This window comes from Homo sapiens, chromosome 16 (genome assembly GCF_000001405.40).
Source record: "Homo sapiens chromosome 16, GRCh38.p14 Primary Assembly".
In the NCBI taxonomy this organism is placed as follows: domain Eukaryota; kingdom Metazoa; phylum Chordata; class Mammalia; order Primates; family Hominidae; genus Homo; species Homo sapiens.
The window spans coordinates 55,349,112-55,371,603 of NC_000016.10; the positions used below are offsets into that span (position 1 = coordinate 55,349,112).

Sequence of the window (22,492 nt, forward strand, 5' to 3'; positions counted from 1 at the left end):
CTGAAGGCCAATCGCACACTTACATTTTAAACATAACATTTGTGTCTACATTCAAACCATGTCATGACAATAACATTTCCTCGGGGCAAGATTTATATGTAAGGACTACAGGTTTCAACTAATTTAGGGCACAGACTCCCTCGTTATTGTTTGGCATTGGTTGGTAGGACTCAGGTCTTTGGTCCTGAATGCATAAACAAGAACCACAGTTAAAGACTAGCAATTGCAAAAAGAGGAGATCCTGTAATCCCAGCACTCTGGGAGGCTGAGGCAGGTGGATCACAAGGTCAAAAGATCGAGACCATCCAGGCCAACATGGTGAAACCCCGTCTCTACTAAAAAATACAAAAATTAGCTGGGCATGGTGGCACATGCCTGTAGTCCCAGCTACTCGGGAGACTGAGGCAGGAGAATTGCTTGAACCTGGGAGGCGGAGGTTGCAGTGAGCCGAGATCATGCCACTGCACTCCAGCCTGGTGACAGAGTGAGACTCCATCTCAAAAAAAGAAAAAAAAAAGGGTCGGGGGGAGATCCCTGAAAATTATCAGGAAAAGCCACTGTCATATGATGTGGGTGCACATGAGAATAGCAGGATGGAAGCTGTCAAAAGTAGCAACTATTAATACTAAGTGCAATAATTAAAGTCCAGCAAAAGGATCAAGAAACAAGGGTAGGGCCTCTGGGTGAATCCATGTGGATGATTGGGGAAGGCAATTTCTGGAAGAGCTGCTTGGGACGTAGATCAGTGAAGATTATCTGGTAGTAAGCAACAGAAATCTACACCAGCTCACTAGAGAAAAAAAAAAAAAGAAAGAAAGAAATTGATTGGATGGTTCCAGAGAGGCTCAGAGGATGGAGAGGAATGCTGCCTCCATCAGGATCAGGCCTGGAAAACCACTGACCACAGCAGCTCTGGATTTCTGAGTAATAAGAGCTTCTCATCAGCCTCTCTGGTTTTGCTGCCAGAAAACTGAGCTTCAGCTGTGCTCAGATTTGTGACTGCTCTGCTCTTGGTTTGAATTCCAGAAACAGAGCATCTGGCTGGACTTGCTTAAGCCACATGTTCCTACACAACATCCTCATCTTGGCTGAAGAAAGGCAGGATCCCTCGATGTCCCACTAGCTCTATCTAGATGGAGAAAGGTAACTTCTTAGAAGGAAATTGGTATGCTTTCTGAGACAGTAGAGTGCAGAAGGCACCCTTGAAGGGGTGACTGGGGAGAGTTCAATATAGTGCTGTTACAGAAGTGTGGTCTAAGGGAGCCAACCAGGAGTGGGGAAGCACCCAGAGACCAGCAACAATGGGAAGCCGTTACTTCCCCAGGGCCTGAAGGAGCCAGGAGAGGGAATATTAGTAGAATATGAGACAGAAGTAGATAGGTTGCCTGGACAGGAGCTGGGGTAGTAAGTAGAGGAAGAGGCCACTGCCAATAGCAACTCAGCCCCAAAGGTATCAGGGTTCTGAATACCCATACCTCTCTCATGCCCTCCAAACCCCTGCCAGCACCTTCCAATAGAAATCCAGAGATCAAGGGAGCTGGTGATGCAGTCTATAGAGATCAATCTTCAGGGACACAGGGAAGGACAAAGAATGGCAGAGAATGGATCTGAAGGGGCAGATAAAAAATATCTAACACAGGTGCTACTATCAGAAACAGCTAGACTAGATACAGCCAGCCTGAATATAGCACAGGCCAACTTAGGAGATCAGAAGAAAAGCACTGAGAAAACTCTAGGAGTTAAAAGAAGACAGCCCATAGCTTCCCAGTTTGGAGGTCAAGAAAACACACACACACACACACACACACACACACACACACACACGAAACCTCAAGCCATATGAGAAGAAAGTTTCAACAGCATGGAAATAGATGGCTTTGCTTCTTATTTTTAAAAGCCTGGCTTCATTAAAGTGATTGTATCCAATATATCAAAGTACTTGTATTTTCCTGGGGAGAAAATGAAACCAGGGGTAAAGTTTTGAGGCAACCCCAAGAGATTTCCAGTTGAGTAACTTGACAGAGAATTAGCTGTTTATCTTGGTCAATACACTGAATATTATAAACTGTAATGCAAGAGTGCAGACTATTTCATCACCACCCCCCATCTCTAAAGAATAATAGCTAATTTGAATCCTAGTGCAGTAACAGGCATAAAAGCAAGGCTCTTAGTGGACATTGAGAGAAAGTACCACTTTAGCAATCAAACCTCCTTTACCTGTCAGAAGAAGGAGTCTCTGCCCAAAGACTCAGTCCTTGACAAATATTGGTGAAATTACATCAGTGGAATCTAAACTGATGGCCTGAGTGAAAAAGCACATTGTTTTCCAGCTCACATTATTCCTGCGTCCATTTCATGCTTTGCAATTTGCAATGTATTTTTACATATGTTTTGTCATTGACTCTCATAACTGGCCTACCTGGGTAGGATTATCTCTCTTCCACAATTAGAAGAACTGAAGGTAAAGAGGTTCACATATCTAGTATCTTGGGCTGAATGTCTCCTGGAAGCTGAACCTTAAGACAAGACTTGAACACAAGTGGTTTATTGGGAAGATGATCTCAGTAAATACTGGTGTGGGGTGAAGAAACAAGAGACAGAAGATGAGAAAGCTAATTCAGAGGACCATGTGACCCCTAAGGGCAATTGGGGCTCCTTCCCACTGAAAACTACCAGGAAACAGGTGAAATATTCCTTGGAGTTGCCCCACTCAAGGGTAAGGAAGCTGGGGTATGTCCTCCATCTACAATTTGTCGATGACTTGGGGCTGCTCCCAGGGGTGTAACTTCTCAGCATTAAGGGCCTGCCTACTTGTGCCAAGAGAAAGTCCCCAGTCTCTCCCAGTAGAACCCAGTTTATGTATACTGGGATGGTGAGTGTCAAGGGACCGGGGCCAGGCATTCTGCTAGCAGATCCAGCATGTCACAACTGGTTGCCAGTCAGCAGCACACCCAAGCCCCTTTTTCCCCAGTGGCGTCCCAGCATAAAGGCTTTCTCAGCCTCCTCTACATTAAAGGTTGGCTTTGTGGTGGCAAATGAGATGTAACAGAACACCCCCTGAGGCTCCTGAGAATGATTTCTCTTTCCTGATAAAAGGAAAGAGATGCATACAGAGTCCTCTTGCCTCTGGCTTCCTGTGTTTCTGGCCTTTGGACAGGCCATGTGAGGTCATGAGGCCTGGGGCAGTGGCGCCAACAGGGACCAAGAGGGTAAGCCTGACATCATTTATATTCTAAACAATTACTGAAACTGCATACATCCAGACTCACTGTAAAGTTAATAATTGTCCGTATGATTTAAGCCACTATTAGTTGAGTTTTCTGTTACTTGCAGCTAAATGCATTCCTAACAGAAAATTTGATTTCGTCTCTCAATAGAAAGTTTGTATCACTGTCAAATTAACTATTCTTCTTTACTCTGCTAGATGTTGTAAAATATAAAGGAAGTCTTTGCCTTAAGCTTTTTAATGATCAATGTAAAAGTAGTGGTTTCATCATATGTAAACATATGTCAAAACTTAAATTGTGCAATTGAAATAATCAAAATAGGAGACTAGTTATTATTTTATTTTTTGTGTGTGGTTTTATAACTTTATTCGATAAAACGTGGTTAGTTCTCATCCACATTGACTGTCTGTAGATTTTTAAGTGATGACAGGTACATAGGTAACCAATGTACAGAGCTTGTTTGGTGAATTTTCATCCTCATTAATTTTTCTCGACAACCACACATGGATGTGGTATGGGATGTTCCTTATTCCTTTAGCCCCAATAGCTTTGTTGAGCTCAGTATCAGTGCACATATTTAGAGTTCCTATCTTCTTCATGGAAAATTTCCATACCTTTTTAAAGTGCCCAAGAGGCTCACTTCTTGAAGCCCACTCCCTGGGTGCACCTGTGAATATTGATGTTCTCTGATCACCAACCCACTGATGGCAGAACAGTCCTTCTTCTCGCCACTGGTCCAGTCTTCCAGGCACCAGGTTGGACTATGTTATAATTTTAATAAATTAATTGATGTTGTTTTTTTCTCAAAGCTCTTTTTAGGTTTTCTATCTTAGAATTTATTCAGGATATTATAGAATTTCTCCCGTTAGCACACCATCTCTCTCTATCCCTTCTCGGAAAACAGTTCAAGAATCAGATACGATACAGGCCAGCTCAACCATAATGAGAAGATGGAACACAGGGTGGCATTGGCAGAAATCAAGTCCAAGATGAATTGGAAACAGGCAGAAATATAAACAAACCCTTAACAACAGACACTAAAGAGTTCGTTATCCTAAGGCAAGCAAGCCTTAGGATATAAAAGGGGGATAGCAAACACAATAGGGAGTTGCTGTAGGTTGAATGTTTTGAATCCCCCTGAATCCATATGCTGAAGTCCTAAACTACCTAATGTGATGGTATTTCGAGATGGGGCCTTAGGGAGATACTTAGGATTCGATGAGGCTGTGAGGGTGGTGCCTTCTTGATGGGGTCAGTGCCCTTATAAGAAGAGACATTAGAAAGCTTGCCCTCTTTCTCTCTTTCTGTCTCCCTGCCTCCATCCACCATGTGAGGAGAAAGTAGCTGTCTACAAGCCAGGAAGAGGGCCCTCACCAGAAACCAACCATGCTGGCACCTTGATCTTGGACTTCCCATCCTCAAGAACTGTGAGAAAATAAATTTCACTCTATGGTATTTTCTCATGACATCCATGCTGACAAATACAAGAGTCCTAGGTTTGACTAGAAGCTCAGCCAAGTATAGACACTAGTCTCTTGGGTAAAACATTTGTTCACTCTAAACCCCAGTCCTCTCCCCAGTAAAATGAGAGATTTACAGAAGTCCCACTTTATCCATGGTTTTGTTTTCCATGGTTTCAGTTACCCTCAATCAATGGTGGTCCAAATATATTCAGTGGAAAATTCCAGAAATAAGCCACTCATATGTTTTAAGTTGCAAGCAATTCTGAGTAACATAATGGAATCTTCTAGCACCCTGCTCTTTTCTGCCCAGGGTGTAGAAATCATCCCTTTTTCTAGCATATCTATGCTGTAACCACTCCCAGCCTGTTAGTTGCTAAATTGTCTGGGTTATCAAATTGACTATGGACTTTTGAGGTATCACGGTGGAGTTTATACTTAAGTAACCCTTATTTTACTTAATAATGGCCCCAAAGCACAAAAGTAGTGATGCTGGCAATTTGGATATGCAAAAGAGAAGCCATAAAGTGCTTTCTTTAAGTGAAAAGGTGAAAGTTCTCAACCTAATAATGATACAATATTCTGTATATAAGGTTCAGTATAATCTGCAGTTTCAGCCATCCACTGGGGGTCTTGGAACATACCCCCCCACCAAGGATAAGGAGGTACTACTGTGTAAATAATACCTCTGATACCCTGGGATTCTAACCATGCCCTGATTTCTCTTATTTTCTGGTTAGATTTTTATATATCTGTCTTCCCCAAAACTGAGCACATCTGTAATTAGAAGTTACAACCAAAGACACCACATACCACTTTCAAATCTTTATTCCAAATGTTAGTTGGAAAAAGGTTCTAGAGACAAAAAGTACGCCAACCATGCCAGAAATGGAACCCACACATTTAAAAGTCTTCGAGTGCTATAAAGGCAAGCAGCATGTTCATATGACATTTACAAGTCACCCCCAACCACTCTCTAATTAACTTATTGTGTGCCTTCTCTAAACTAACATACACAGAATTAGAAAGGAAACACTTATCTGTTCTGTTGCTAAGGAACCAGTATAATTTGCATAGTGAAAAAAATCATTAGTATATTTAAGCTGAAATTCTATCTATTTATAATGGCCAGATTTAAAACATGAGATCAAAGTCTCAACATTTTTTTTCACCATCTTTAGTAAGTAGCTCAAAGCAGTAGTGTGGTTGCACCTAACACATAATATTAATATGAAGTCCTATGCCACTTTGTGTTACAAATTGCTCCATAGTCATTCATGGGGACTAAGCTGAGGAAGTTCAAGATTGTACAATGCAGGTAGACAGGCGGTTTCATTTGACAAGATGTGTTGCACAACTCAGCATACACCTGGATTCTGAATGAGTTCAGATTGATTAGTTCTTTTTTAGGCTCTCTACAGAGATGAATATATTTTCCTCCTCGCTTCTCAGAATGATTCCTCGTTTGTATTTCTCTGGGGGTGATGAAAAGGGCACTAGATTGGAGCCAGAAAACCTGGGTTTGATCTTACGACTTGGCACCCATGTTACCTGGGTGACTATGGGCCAATGTCATCACTTCTCAGAGCCTCAGGTCCTTCCCCTGTAAAGGCAGCTTGGCATGGCTAGCATTATTATGAGGAATAAAAGAGAAGGTGGGTCAGAAAGAGCCTTTCCAAGAAGGAGGTTATCACTAGTTAAAATTTTGATAGAGTTTTTTTGAAGCAACTTGACATAAGGATATCAAAATTTGCATGGAAAAACAATCATATAAGAGAGCCAGGAAAATTCTGAAAATGAAATTAATGAAGGCACTAGTACTACTATATTTTAAAATGTATTATAAAGCTGCAGTATTTAAAACAGTATGGTGCTACTGCAGAGCTCAGGAGGCAGAACAATGAAAGAGAATTAGGAAGAGTTAAGCTAAATAACGTGTGAGGATCTTATAAAAAATAAAAGTGGCATTTCAAGTTGATGGAGAAACTATGGCTTATTCAATAAATGATGCTGAGAAAGCTGACTCAATATTTGGAAAAAATGAAATTAATCATTAATGCACTTCTAACTACTTACAGATGTCTCAAATATTTAGATATAAAATATGAAACCATAAAAGTACTAAAAGGAAATCTAAATACATTTGTTTTAATAAAAGCACAGTGGAAGGCCTTTTTGAAGTGTTACATAACACCCAGAAACTATCAAAAGATTGGTAAATCTGACCACAGAAAAATAAAACTATTCTCTGTCATGAAAAAATAAATCAGAAGACAATCTGCAAAAATGCAAATAAATGGGCAAAGTATATAGATATTTTATGTTTCCTTCAAAAGAAGTAGTAATAGATAATAAAATATGATTAGATGGTTAAACTTGTTAGTAATTTGGAAAATGTAAACAATAAGTTATCATTTTTAAAAATTACTGTATTGGTAAAGATGGAAAGATTGGATAGTGTCCAGAGGTATTGCCTTTGAAATGCAATAGATGTTCTCAAATTCTATTTGGAAAACATATATTTGTTGCAAACTTATTTAGTGTAAATTTGGTAATATCTATCAAATGTTAAAATATACACAGCTTTGATCAGGCATGGTGGCTAACGCCTGTAATCCCAGCACTTTGGGAGGCTGAGGCAGACAGATCACGAGGTCAGGAGATCGAGACCATCCTGGCCAACAGGGTGAAATCCAGTATCTACTAAAATACAAAAAAATTAGCCAGGCGTGGTGGCATGCACCTGTAGTCCCAGCTACTCAGGAGGCTGAGGCAGGGGAATAGCTTGAACCTGGGAGGTGGAGGTTGCAGTGAGCTGAGATCACGTCACTGCACTCCAGCCTAGCGACAGAGCAAGACTCCGTCTCAAAAAAAAAAAAAAAAAAATTAGCTGTGTGTGGTGGCACATACTCGTAATCCCAGCTACTGAGAATAGCTGAGGCAGGAGAATTACTTGAACCCAGGAGGCAGATGCTGCAGTGAGCCAAGATCGCACCACTGCACTCCAGCCTGGGTGACAGAGCAAGACTCTGTTTAAAAAAAGAAGAAAAAAAACCATATATACATATATATATATATATATATATATATATATATATATATATATATAGAGAGAGAGAGAGAGAGAGAGAGAGAGAGAGAGAGAGAGAGAAATAGATATAGATAATACACAATACCTTTGATCTGGTAGTTTCATTTCTGGGAATTTTTTTCTTATGCATGAACTCACACAATTACACAAATATATTTGCATAAGAACATACTGCAGTACTGTTTGTGTTTGTAGTAGCAAAAACTGGAAAACAACCTGCATGTCTATTAAAAGGAGGCTACTTAAATCTACTTTAGCACATTCATAAAATAGAATGGTAAATGACGTAAAAATTAAAGTGAGATAAATTATCCGCCATAGAAAGGTAACACATGTCAGCTCCAATTTAATGCTTAACATGTATTAATTAATAGAATTCTCACAAAGCCCTGTGAGAGAGACACTTTTACTCTGTTCTCATTTTATACATTAGGAAACTGAGTCATAAAAAGGAGAATACTTTGTCTAGGGTTATACTTCTGGTAGGTCGATGGGCTAACGCTGTCTAGAGCCAGAACCATTCTCTAACCACAAGATTGCACTGCCTAGCTACAAAGCCTAGCTGCATCCTTAAGTGGAAATAAAAGTAAGTTATGAAATAACGCATTGAGAGTTGGCAGAAGGCAGAAGGTAGGGAGAGAAAGAAAGAAGACATCTGCATGAAAATATCTGAAAACAACAGCTAGGGAGTGGGACAGAAGGAGGTGACTACTTTTCATTTCTTATAAATCCTGCTGCTTGTATAACAATTCTAACCATTATCTTGAATTACTATAATATCTTTTTTGAAAATCATGGTTAATAAACTTCCCCTGGGTGAGATTGCCATAAACCTCTTCTTGTATCTTTCCTCCTCAGCGACTGCCCACTTTCTTCCTTTTTGTCTCTCACCTATTGGCCTCTACATTTTTTTCCAGCACAGAGTAAATGTCAGCTCACTCATTGGCCTCTGTTGCAGGGCCACCCACCGTCCAGCAAACTGCCCAGTGATGCCAGCCTCAACCAAGTCAGAAGGCCACTTCTGAAATCCCCTGAGAGCATGGTAATATCTCAATCCTGTTCTCTTCCCTACTGGGGTCAAGCTCCATCTTCCAAATGTGACTGAAGGTGATTGTGCATTCCTCCAGGACTGGGCTGCGACCCCTCTTCTTGGTTTTCCCCATGGCAGTTCACTGACTTGACCTAATAACTCAATGGCCAACTGGAGTGAGTGGCCCTAAAGAACACCTCCAGGCAATGGTGATTTAACAATGGACTGGTTCTTGTAAGAATGGCTATAATTAAAACGTCAAAAAAATAATAGATAATGGGGAGGATGCAGAGAAAAATGAACACTGATACACTGTTGGGAGTGTAAATTAGTTCAGCCATTGTGGAAGACAATGTGGCAATTCCTCAAAGACCTAAAGACAGAAATTCCATTTGACCCAGTAATCCCATTATTGGATATATACCAAAAGGACAATACATTCCTCTGTTATAAAGACACGCGCATGTGTATGTTCATTGCAGCACTATTCACAACAGCAAAGACATGGAATCAATCTAAATGCCCATCAATGATAGATTGGATGAAGAAAGTGTGGTCCATATATACCATGGAATACTATGCAGCCATAAAAAGAACTAAATCATGTCCTTTACAGGGACGTAGATGGAGCTGGAGGCTATTATCCTCAGCAAACTAACACAGGAACAGAAAACAAAATACCTCATGTGCTCACTTATAAGTGGGAGCTAAATGATGAGAACACATGGACACACACAGGGAAACAACATACACTGGGGCCCATCAGAGGGTGGAGGGTAGGAGGAGGAAGATGATCAGGAAAAATAACTATTGGGTAATAGGCTTGATACCTTGGTGATGAAATAATCTGTACAACAAACCCCCGTGACACACGGTTACTTATGTAATAAACCTGTACATGTACTCCTGAACTTAAAATAAAAGTTAAAAAAAACCTGACTGGTTCTCTGGGGTGCAGAAAAGGCAAGTCCTGATTTCTAGTGTTTGCTGAATTTGTGGTGTAAATATTCCTACCACAGCCGAATGCTGGCTACAAACAGGACATCACTGATCGTGTAGTTGGGAAGAGGTGCACAGCAGAAAGAATACACACATATATGGCTTTCCCACCTTACAGATGCAATAGCTGTAAATAATCTCAAAAGCATCAATATGGTAAAAATAGAAAGTGATGAGTTTTGAATCTAGATTATCTTTATTTTTAATATGACTTACTTAATTGAAACGTTATGTATTTTAATTTTTAATAGTGACCATGTCTAAAATGTCAAGAACCAACAGATGCTGGCGAGGCTGTGGAGAGATAGGAATGCTTTTACACTGTTGGTGGGAATGTAAATTAGTTCAACCACTGCGGAAGGCAGTGTGGCGATTCCTCAAAGACCTAGAACCAGAAATACCATTTGATCCAGCAGTCCCGTTACTGGGTATATACCCAAGGAATATAAATCATTCTATTATAAAGATATATGCACACATATGTTCACTGCAGCACTATACACAATAGCAAAGACATAGAATCAACCCAAATGCCTGTCAGTGATAGACTGGATAAAGAAAATGTATGTATACACCATGGAATACTATTCAGCCATAAAAAGGAATGAGGTCATGTCCTTTGCAGGGACATGGATGGAGCTGGAAGCCATTATCCTCAGCAAACAAAATACCACATGTCACTCATAAGTGGGAGCTGAACAATGAGAACACATAGACACAGGGAGGGGAACAACACACACTGGAGTCTGTCAGTGGGTTGTTGAGGCAGGAAGGAGAGCATCAGGAAAAATAGCTCATGCATGCTGGGATTAATACTTAGGTGATGGGTTGGTAGGTGCAGCAAACCACTATGGCACATGTTTACCTATGTAACAAACCTGCACATCCTGCACATATACCCCAGAATTTAAAATAAAAATTAGTAATAATAATAATGATAATGGCCATGTCTAACAACAGCTCGCACACTTCCTGAAAAGTTAGCAATCAGTTCTTGTGAGATGCGAGCTGTGTGCAACACCCAGCTGCTCAGATTTCTGAGACCTGAATGATCAAGCTACACGTACAGAGTCATAATCTGGAATTGGAAGAAGTTTACTGATTATAAACAAAGAGTATTTTTATTTTGAATTATTTTTCTTCTGGATTTTCCACTCATTTAAAATCAAATTTGACTATCATGTCCTAAAGCATAATGAGCCATAAACTGCTAGTTCTCTTTCCATTTTCAGCTCCATCATCACCTCCTCCAGGAAGCCTTCCCGACTTACAAGCTCATGGCACCAAACCCCTCTGTCTCATGGCACTTGCCCCTCTTCCAGTATTGTACTGATTTTTGTGATTCATTAATTGTCTTTTTCTCCCACTAGACTGTAGACACTTTGAGGTCAGATTATTTTGTTTTCTTTTAGTGGAATTCTCTGGAGGGCTCATCACTTGATCCCCAACTCCTGTGCCAATTGCCTGGCACAGAAAAGAAGCTCAAAGAACATGTGTTAAATATCTTCTCAGAAAACCGTATGAGCACTGATGAACTGGTTAGAGCAGTCATAAGCTTTTGTTTTGCTTCGTTGATTTTATTTGTTTATATTTGTTTTATTTTGTTTGTTTAATTTGTGATAGCCAGAGATAGCAGTGGCCTTAGAGAAGATTGTGTCCAACTACCTCCCATTTCACAGGCTGGAAAACTGAGACCCAGGCATGAGGAGCACTTTCCTGAAGGACACATAGACATTTAGCAGGAATATCCAGATGTCCTGAGTCTCAGCTTAGGACTTGTTTATCACAATGTGTTGTCTAAAATAAGTTATTTAACATAATCCTGGTAATCAGATGAGAATCAAAAAAAAAAAAAAAGACGGCAGTAACAATAACACCTTCTCCCATAAGACATTAGGGCTAAGGAATATTCTGAAACTTTGATATATTTGAGTAGAACTTTAATGATTCCCAGTGGCAATTATGAATCTAAGGTTTTATTTGGGTTTTTTTGTTTGTTTCTTCACATGTGTTCTCAAAAATGCCCAATCACAGAGTATTTTTGACCTACCATTTCTTCCTTAGGGAATACAGCAGCCACACATTTTCCCAGCTATGCTGAGTTTAGCTGACCACATTTTAAAAGCACAGCCTGAATTCAGGTGCAGGAAAGAGAAAATAAGACAGAAATAGAGGTTTGTGCTTGCTGGGCAGCCTCTGGGTTTGGTATCTTAAAATAAGACAGTGTAGCTATATAATCATGAGAATCACCCGATGCATTTGTTAAAAATCCAAATTACTGGGCTTCACTCTGGATCATAATTGATAGAGGAGAGAGCTTGGAATCTATATATTCTTACATGACTACCTGGGTTCCTGATAATCATATATGTTTGGGAAATCCTGGAATAGTGGTCAAGGGTGTAGACTTAGGAGTTGACAGTGCTGGATTTTACTAAGTAGGTGACCCTGGGAGATTTACTTAACCTCTCTGGGCCTCAGCTTCCTCATCTGTACAATAGGAATAATAATAGCTATCTTAGGCTGGTCGCAGTGGCTTGCGCCTGTGATTCCAGCACTTTGGGAGGCTGAGACAGGTGGATCACCTGCAGTCAGGAGTTCGAGACCAGCCTGGCCAACATGGCGAAACCCCGTCTCTACTAAAAATATAAAAATTAGCTGGGCATGGTGGCACGTGCCTGTAATCCCAGGTACTCCGGAGGCTGAAGCAGGAGAATCGCTTGAACCCGGGAGGCAGAGTTTGCAGTGAGCCGAGATTACGCCATTGCACTCCAGCCTGGGTGACAAGAGCAAAACTCTGTCTCAAAAAAAATAATAATAATAACAGCTATCTTACAGAGCTTCTAATACTCCGTCTCTGCTCCAGGTTTTGAAAAAAAGTATTTTAAAAGAGCTTTCCTGGTGAGTTCCTTAGCCAACACAGCTAAACATGTTGCTACTAAGAAAAGCATATCATTATGGAGATAAAGAGACAGGGATACAGGAAAGGTCCTATCACTCAGCCAGTATGATGGGACTACAGGGCAGATTTTTGTAGTTGCCACAAAGCATGCTGTGCTGTTGGGTAAAACTGAAGAGAATGACAGAGTCAATGAAGAGCAAATATAATCGCCAACATAAACCAACCAGGCAGAGGAGGCTGTAAAAGAGCACTGGCGGAGGAGTTCAGAAATCTTAGTGTAAATTTCATCTCCAACACTTACTAGAAGGGCTAAGTTTTAAAAAAAATCTCTGAGCCCCAGTTGCATTGTTTATATAATTGGGCATGATAAAGTGTGCTTTATCTGAAACTGCAGTGATCAAATGAGATAATAAAGGTGGTATGATTTTATTTTGAAATAAGAGGTTGACTCTATTATAAACACTCATTAAACAAGAACAGCCCCCAAACACAGTTTTTAAAAACGCTTACCCACAATCTACCCACTCTAAAACAACCAATATTTTTTCTTCTAGCTTTTTAACATATGTGATTTGGGATTAGAATTTTTGAAAAAAAAAATTTTTTTTGTATTTTCATGTTGACATCAAGGGTGCATATAGTTTTATATCTTACTTTGTATTTAATTTTATCACATAAGTGTTTTTGCATCATTGAAATGCCTATGCATAACCACCATTTACTAAAACAATCTCTATTGTTGGACCTTTGCTTTGTTACAAGCTTTGTGCTATTATGAAAATCACTGTCATGAACATCCTTGTGTTTTAATATTTTAAAATGTATATTTACTATTTTGTGTCATTTGAAGTCATTCTAAAGGAATGCGGAATTACTGAGTCTATGGCACACAATTTCAGTTATAAAATGCTTTTTAAACCCGCAAAGTGCAGTGCAAATGTAAGGACAAGTTGCAGTTCACATTTATCAAGTCCTTCCTGCTGTAGGCACAGGGACTGTGCTGAGTACCTTGGGAGTAACTCACAGAGCAGCTGGGAATCCTTGTGTCAGTTCTAAAGACACTAATAAGTTAATAGAGATGGCAGAGATGAAATCAGCAGAAAGTCAGCCATCCAGGAGCTCTCCCTATGGAAAGAAGAACAGTATCTCCACAAATAACAACTAAATCAAGCCTCTGCCCAACCACTCATAAGCTGTGCTACCTTGGGCAAGACACTGTATCTCTCTGGGCTTCTTTCCACACCTGAAAGTGAGAAACTGAGATAATCTCTTAGGTCTTTCCAGTTCTGAAAGTTTTCTGATTCTGCCCTGACATGTGGTCCCTGTCTTCTGTCTTCTGGCAGGGGTTCTAAATAGCTTCAATGCTACAAGACCGACTGCTCACAGCTTGAGCAGTAAGATGGTATTGATTGTGCAGGTGCCAGAGGATGCAAATGTCCTGGCTGCATCATCTGGACTGGCGACAAGCCGCTATATACCAGGGAGGGTTTGTCTGGGGAGAGGACACACTCGATCTTCAGGCCCTGGGTCCAAGGTCTTTCTCTGCCAAAGCAGGCCTCAATACCTGGGGGAGACTCATGTCTCCCTGTCGACATGCTGTTTCCTTTTCTAGCTTTACAAGGGGTGAATCTTGAGTAATTCATGTAAATAAATTCACCTAAATAAAGTGAAATTAACTATTTTATCAATGAAAGAAACATAAAATACTACCAAGGCCTAAAATGAAAAAGTTTTCATGTTCCAAGTGTAAATAAAACTGGCATATTTTATTGCAGGGATTAAAATATAGTGAGTCACAGAAATGGTGCAGGGTTTTTTTTTTCTAGCTTTTTCACATTTATGATTTGGTGTTGGACTTTGGAAATTTTGTTTGCATTTTCATGTTGTGATTAAGGATGCATATAGTTTTATACCTTATTTTTTATTTAATTTTATCACAAGTATTTTTGCATTGTTGAAATGGTTATATATAACCATCACTTACTTAAATGGTCCGTATTGTTAGACCTTTGCTTTGCTATACATTTTTGCTGTTATAGAAATCACTATTATATGTGCTATTATATAAATGGATTTACTAATATTTTTACTTTTAAAGTAGTTTAAAGTAGTACAAATGAATCTCAGAAAGTATTCGCTTAGATGTGAGCCTGGGTTCACGTGCAACATCTAATTACAATCTAGTTACAACAGAGGGAGGAATCCAAAATATCTTTACAGTAATTTCTGTAAACATTTTTATGATGCTGCTCTTTTAACTCAAATAAGACATCTTGTTCCTCTGAGGAGTTCAATAAGTCCCTTGTTTTGTTAAAGAAAAATTCACTGGTTCTGATCTTACTGAATTTGTAGAGTGGAAGACAGGCTAGACAGAGGCTGAAAGACTCGAGTCTGCCCCACTCTCTGCCGACACCCTGGGAAAGGCATTTTCTCTCCTTGAACTTCAGTTTCCTTGTAATGGAAACAAAGACAACTCCTTTAGATACTTAGTAACTACAGGAGTCTCCCTTATCCTGGTTTTGCTTTCCATGGTTTCAGTTACCTTGGGTACAATACAATAAGATATTTTGAGGGAGAGAGAGGCCATATTCACATAACTTTCATGACAGCATATTGTTATAGTTGATCTATCTTATTATTAGTTATTTTTGTTAATGTCTTACTGTGCCTAATTTATAAATGAAACTTTATCGTAAGTATGTATGTTTAGGAAAAAGCGCAGTATATATAGAATTTTGTACTATATATATTCAGGCATCCACTGAAGGTCTTGGAATGTATCCCCATGAATAACGGGGACTACTGTATAGCATTCAGTAGTACAGTATTGTAGCTTTCTGTAGTGCAATATTCTAGCTATTGAACTGGGGTTGGGTTGCGATATTCCTTGCATCTAAGATAAACAAGTTGCCAATAAAGTGACAGGGAGAATTAAAAAGAAGGAGACTGCCTCGCTGGCCCTGATGCATCACCTCTCCCTGCGTCTGTGCCCTTTGTCACGCATTTGTTGTCTCTTCTGCTAAAGGTGAAGCATATTGTCTTGTCTTTGATTTTGGGCTCAGCCCTGTGAGTTGCTTTGGCCAATGGGATGTTCACAGCCATGATGCCACCAGCAGCTTGTAATGCGCTTGCATGGCTGTGGTTGTAAAGTTAGGCATCTTCTTTTGCTTCTCTGACGTCACCCTAGGAAGGTCTTACCCTGGCTAGCCTGCTGGTCCCAGGAGGAGGATGAGAGGCATGCGGTGCAGAGCCGGCTCAGCTGCTGAGCCTTTCACTAAATCTCTCCAGTTGGCTTACAGATCTGTGAGCAATAAGAAATGTTTGCTGTTTTAAGCCACTGAGTTTTGGCATGGTGTGTTATGCAGCACTGTTGTGGTGATAGCTAACCAATACAGAGGGCAAGATCTTTTCTAAAAGGAAGCATATATTTTCCTAGAAACAAAATATCAACATAAATGAGCTTTATCTGTGGTACGATGTAGATATTAAGACTTCCTGGCTGGGCATGGTGGCTCACGCCTATAATCCCAGAACTTTGGGAGGCCGAGATGAGAGGATTGCTTAAGCCCAGAAGTTCAAGACCAGCCTGGGCAATGTAATGAGGCCCCATCTCTACAAAAACATTAAAAAATTAGCCAGGTGTGGTGGTATACGCTTGCAGTCCCAATTACTTGGAAGGCTGAGGCAGGAGGATTTCTTAAGCCCGGGAGTTTGAGGCTGCTATAAGCTATGATCACCCCACTGCATTCCAGCCTGGGTGACAGAGTAAGATGCTGTCTCAAAAAAAAAAAAAAAAAAAAAAAAGAGAAGACTTCCTACACTGTTGTTAGCCTGCATTGGGTTGTCATCTGTGTGACTTTGGCTCAGTCAACTTCTCTTAGCCTCAGTTTCCACATCTGTAAAGTGGGATACCTGTGTAATTAGATTTAGTGTGAGGATTAAATAGGAGCCCACATGAGAAACGTACAACACAGTGCCCTCACATAAGCACTCGATAAACGGGAGCTGTTAGCCTACCATTTTCTAAATTCTTACAGAACTTAGAGTGCATGCCCCAAAATTTAGCACATATCTGAAAAACAACATAGAAATATATTCTCAAATCTGATGGGCAAGTATTTTCTCACCCAATAGACATAAGCACTTTGAGGGTAAGGTTGATTTTTGTTTGGTTCCAGCTGAGGAAGCAGCCACTGTGAGCACTTTGAGTAAAGTCAAATCCTTTAGTCTTTTTTCACTGTTCTTTTCATCCTCTGATTATCAAAGAGATATTCTCCACTGGTACTACCACAGCTTTAACACCTTTCTGATACAGAATAACCTCCCTTTTCATGAAGAATGAAAATGCCTAAGGTTCAGGGAGCCTTAGATAAGCAACCATTATTTCGATGGTTACTTCGTATTGGTGGTACTTGTTTCTTGACTGTTTGTTTCCTTTTATAAAAGTGATATAAACTTTCTTCTTAAAATACATTTATTTTATTTTTAAAAATTAAGTCTGCTTAAAAAAACAGGTAAATGATGGTACAAATAGTACTTAGACATGGCCAAAAATATCATAAAGGTGGTACTCAAATGAGTGATGTTGGGAAAATGCTGAGTTAATAAGTACTGAACTGATTAAAGCAGGAGTTCAGTTTACAAATGGAAATCAGAAATTATATGTACTGCGTTAAAGCATTCACTAATTCCAACCTGATACCAGTATTGATTGACTCTACTTCCTCACCCCTACACTTAGCCTAGATAACAGAGTGTAGTGAAATTATGGGTCTATAAGCATAAGGAACACTTCTAAAAAATCAGCATAATATTTTTCATTTCAACACCCAGGACACTGACAACCAGCCCCTTTCAATTGTCTGGAAAAAAAAAATAGAGATTTTGTGTTTTCTGATTTTATTGAAGCCGCCAGAAACCATCTGCACATATACCAGACATACAGGGTGACACTCATGACTCCAAATAGGCTGGCAAATTAGGCCAAGTGTATCTCTGTGTCTATAATTATCAATTGCAAATCCCAGAAAGATGTCTACAGAACTGAATCAGGAAGAAATGGGGTGCTCTCTCTCATCTCTCAGCGCAAACAAGCCTTGTTCAAGACCAATTAGCATGACTGGTGGTTCCTTCTTCCCGAAGGTTACACTTCCAGGCTGAGAGCATCTGCTGTACATCTCTTCATTTCTTTCCCATTTTGAGCAATTTGGTTCCTAAGCTCAGTTTCCTCGTGGCTTCCTGGAGCTCTGATGACAAACTGCCATACTTTGTTCCTGTCCTTTAAGGCCCTGAAGGGCACTAGAGAACACACAAAATTTGTTTCTAATTTTGCATCTGCCAAAACATTCCTATAACAATACAAGGCTATAAAAATAGGATGCAACATCCCTCTAATTCCACAAAATAAACAAATCCAAAAGGAAATTAAACACAGTCCTTGAAAATGCAGCATAAATATTTTTACACTCATTCCTCCTTTCCTTCGCTGGCGAAAACTTGTCCCTGAATTATGATTTCAGATTGTATATTTATCCTTTTATGTTTACAACAGATAATCATGACATAAGCCAATGAAAAGAAACACTAGGGCTTTCTTCTTCTTCTTGGTTTCATGTTTTGTAAAATGAATGTCCCTTGGGACAGTTTAAGAGAATGTGGAATCCAATTTCCTCACTGGTGTTAGGAGTTTTATTTTTAACTCAACTACTCAAAATAATAGACATTCTCTACGTACCCTTATCCACAGTTGGAGTACACCAGACATGAAGCAGAATTATCTTTCCATTTTCGTTTTTAGATAGTTCAGGGTAACTTAGAGTTCTGAATTCCTGAATGTTGGCCAAGGTGATGTCATTAAATCTATAATGAAAACAGTGTCACTGAGAGAATTAATTCATTATGGTGGAATTAAGTTAAATCCTTTATGATATGCTATTAAGCACCCACACTAACTTGCTTGCATCAACCTAAATGAAGCACATTCAAATGCAAAAAAGAAAAACAAGTTCCAATCTCAAACCTCATTGGATATTAGGTAACTTTCGAAGTTAAATTTAACTATTAAAAATATTTATAAATCTCATGGTATTTAAGACATCTTACATGTGTTGCAGTGGCCAAATACCTTGTGGTTTATGTAACATCTTTGCCTGAGGGAGTATAACTTACTGTATAAATCATTATTTTGTATTTTATAAATGTTTTTGCCTTATGACTCAGTTCCTGCAACAGCCAAATAGCACAAGAGCTGCCCAACATTTCATTAATCTTTAAAATATTATTACACTCAGTCCAGATATGATAAAAGTGTTGCCAGAGTTCGAAGTAACTTGATCAAGATTTTAAGGACATTTCTAATCCCCAAATTTACCATGTAATCAACAAATACTTATTTCATTAGGTCCTGGAGAGAGAAATAAACAAATAGGTTCTATTCCCTGTCCTCTAGAATTTTACAGTTCAGTCCGGAGCCATGACATATTCGTGTAAAAATCTATCCCCTTGAACCCATGCAGAAAAGGAAGAGCTATGTAACCATTAGCCATGTGCTTACAAGGGGCTATTTCTGCTTCTGACACCAAATTTCTGCTGAGTCCAGGGAAACTTCCCACTTCCTCTCTATATCCTGGCTCACCACATACTTATCTAGCATAATGACTGCCTTGAAGGGGATTGGGTTTCTTAGAGGAAAAAAACTTACGATGGTATTAAATATGAAAACTTGAATGTTAATTGTTTTTTTTTTTAATAAAGGTTACCACTTCAAAAATTAGGTCATTTCACGCTAGTGGAAAGAACATGCATTCTCATAAGATAACTGAAAGAAATCACAATTCATGTTCAAAGCATCTTGCTTCTGACACATGGCTGTTAAGTGACAAATGGAAATTTCCTGAGCTCAGTAAAACGAGTTGACAATAGGCTGCTTATAGTTTCTGTCGGAAAGCAGACTGTCAAAAAAAGTTGTAGCAATCATGCACCATCGTTAATGATGACCAGCCAAGCTCTTTGTCTGCAAAGACCATGGACCAAATATTGTCACAGTCAGTCATCGACTGTGCAAGACTCTTTTTGTACCAACCTCATGAAAAGAAATTTTATTTTTAAAGATTGCCTCTCATTACAACAAGTATTACCCCAAACGGTCGAAATAACAAAAAAGAATTTGAAGCCTAGCCAATGACCTGACTGCTTTATACAATATTGATAGGACAACCCCCTGGGCAACAAAGGAATCTGATGGTGCCTCGGTTTTCTTTGTAATGAGATTTGGCCAGGATCAGGAAAATCATGTATTTATTTAAAATGGATACCCTGACTGCTTCTCAAAAGGTTTGAAGTGGCTTGCAAAAACCAACCAACCAAACAAACAAAAAAAGCCAAGATGTTTTAAGACTTAAAAAACGTTAAGAGTACAAAAAAAGAGAAAAGAAATAATCAAATGCATTAGCAGCCCGGGCGAATGCAGCTCCTTTAATTGAGCATTAAACAAACTTAAACGTAGCATTTCCTGTTCCAGAAGCAAGCAGGGCTGAAAACTTGGCTGGTGCACCACTAAAGCTTACCAGTTGTGTTTTCGGCTGGCATCCACTCCAACTGGATGATGCTCATGCTGTATTATATGTTAAATATTGTTATCATTATTCCAGGAGCCAGGCAGAGAATAGGCACTCAATAAATGGCAGCAGTTTTCAGTATTTTTCTCCTGCATTCCCAGCTGCCATATCACCTGCAGCATTCAGTTAATATCTATTTCAAATGCACATAAAATATATTCATGTTTTCCCTTTAAGCATCTGACTGTTAAGTGCCCTCTACCAGCAAAAGGAGGCAAGGACGTGATCTTTCTTGGGGCTCTATTTTCCTCTATAGGAGAAATGAGTACAAGAGGCCACAGCTTAATCGATGTTTACCAAAAATCTGACTTTTTGTTCCTAGCTGGGATTTTGCAACCACATTATAAATAACTTGAGTAACACACGAGGAGGATGCACCAATTCTAGTCCATTGCTGAATAATGTGTAAACACTATATGGAGTTTCTTTCATGTCTGCAAAAAAGGCGGGGGGGGGGCACGTTTCTCTCCTTTTCTCTAATTTTCTTTATATTTAAGTTTCTCACCTCTGGAGGAGTGCATGGAGCTAATTGTGCATTTCCCTTGTGTGAATAAAGGACGGAGTGTCTGCTTTCACTTCAAATTGCTTGGCCCTCAATCAACATCACCATAAATGTGACATATGAATATTAAATCCAAATATTTTATTGGTGCAGATAAATATGATTTGTAAAAAGAGTCAAATTAACAATCCATTACATACTAATGGGCTCTAATCAATAAGTTTAATTTGACTAAAAGGAGAGGGGCGGGGATGGAGGGGGAGAAAAGAGACTCAATTACACCCAAATGGTGCCATTTAAAATTATAAAGGTGACTGACTTCTACAACTTTTCAGCTGTATTCTGACTTGGGGGCTTATGGACCCAACACCGGAGCTGTGTTGAAAGTGAGCATCTGTCTGTGGTTTACACTCATATTTCCAATTATTTTTCTTTAAAATTAACCACTGTAAATACAAAAAGTACTGAGAACAATGCAAACGAACAAGATCCCACAAAACAGAAAGAAAAACGTGTCTTTTAAAAGCCGTATTTGCTCCAGATTAGTTTAGTAAAAATGAAACAATGCACATAAATCCGAAGTTTCTTTTGTCCCGTCTCTATCTTAGCCTTCTCTTTCCCTTCCTCCTTCTCCAGCGGCTGGACTAAATGTTGTATGTTTCCTTCTTGCCTTCATTTCTGTACTTTCACTACATCTAGAGGAATCCAGAAGCCATGGGGAGTAGCACTTGGTGTCTTTGTGAAATTCTACAACTTGCTTTTTCCAACTGTCAACCTAGTTCGTTCCTTTTAACTGTGATGTAGTATTCCACTATGTGATTCTGTCACTTCCTTTATTCTTTTATTTCTCTCTCATTCTCTTACTGATGGATGGTTAGGTTGGATCACCTTACTATAGTTATTCCGACATCAATTAGGGGAAAGGTGCCCAGGTCCCTGATTATTGAAGTAGATTTTAGATCCTTGGACAGATCGCAGCCTCACCTACGGGAAGATCTACATCCCCTCCTCCAGGGCTCTACCGAGGGAGAACCAAGGTAGAAAAGCATGCCTTTCCGGCTGCTGCTTTTGCATCTTATACGGATAGCCGGCTCATGGCAATGTGACTCAAGCTGGCAGGGGTCTTTGAGCATCAAACGTGTCCTCCTTCCCTCTACCTACTTCGGCTCCGGTTTCTCTCCCGAAGCCTAAATAAAGAAGGTAACAGACAACACCTCTATTGGCAGAGGCTTCTGCCTTTTCCGTCAGGCTGGCTGCAGCACATCCGTAATCCTTATGTCAGCCTGCACTCTAGCGTTGCCGGCCCGGTCCAGCATCTGACAGCCGCGAATCCAAAGCTGCCGGCCTCTCGTTTCTAAGCAGCAGCTCACAGCGCCAGCCGCCCTCCCGCAGAAGGGGAACAAAGCCCGGCGGACTAGCTCACTATCTTCTGGGTGGCAAGGAAATCTCAATTATACACCCAAGGGATGTGGTTTGTGAAAAACTAGAAAGAATGTTTAAATTGTGTACGTAAATTGTTTTGTTTTACAAGCTGGGGTAAATCAGCACATTTGCAGCCCATATTTATCTGATCCACTCCATAAGACTCTTTTTGAATGCCTGCCCTTGATGTGGGGTAGATGCCTATGCAAAACATAACCGACCCCTAAATTCAATTAGGGCATT

The 22,492-nt window shown here is 39.7% G+C and overlaps 1 long non-coding RNA gene and 1 pseudogene across 1 annotated transcript; both read right to left on the reverse strand.

Annotated features, from left to right (window-relative positions):
- RPL31P56 (ribosomal protein L31 pseudogene 56) lies at window positions 3,582-3,959 on the reverse strand (annotated as a pseudogene).
- Window positions 17,592-20,454, reverse strand: LOC105371279 (uncharacterized). The gene is made up of 3 exons (XR_933600.3): window positions 20,275-20,454; window positions 18,444-18,568; window positions 17,592-18,007 (listed from the first exon to the last, which is right to left on the reverse strand). It is a non-coding gene; the product is annotated as an uncharacterized LOC105371279 (long non-coding RNA).
- Between the last annotated feature and the right edge of the window lie 2,038 nt (window positions 20,455-22,492).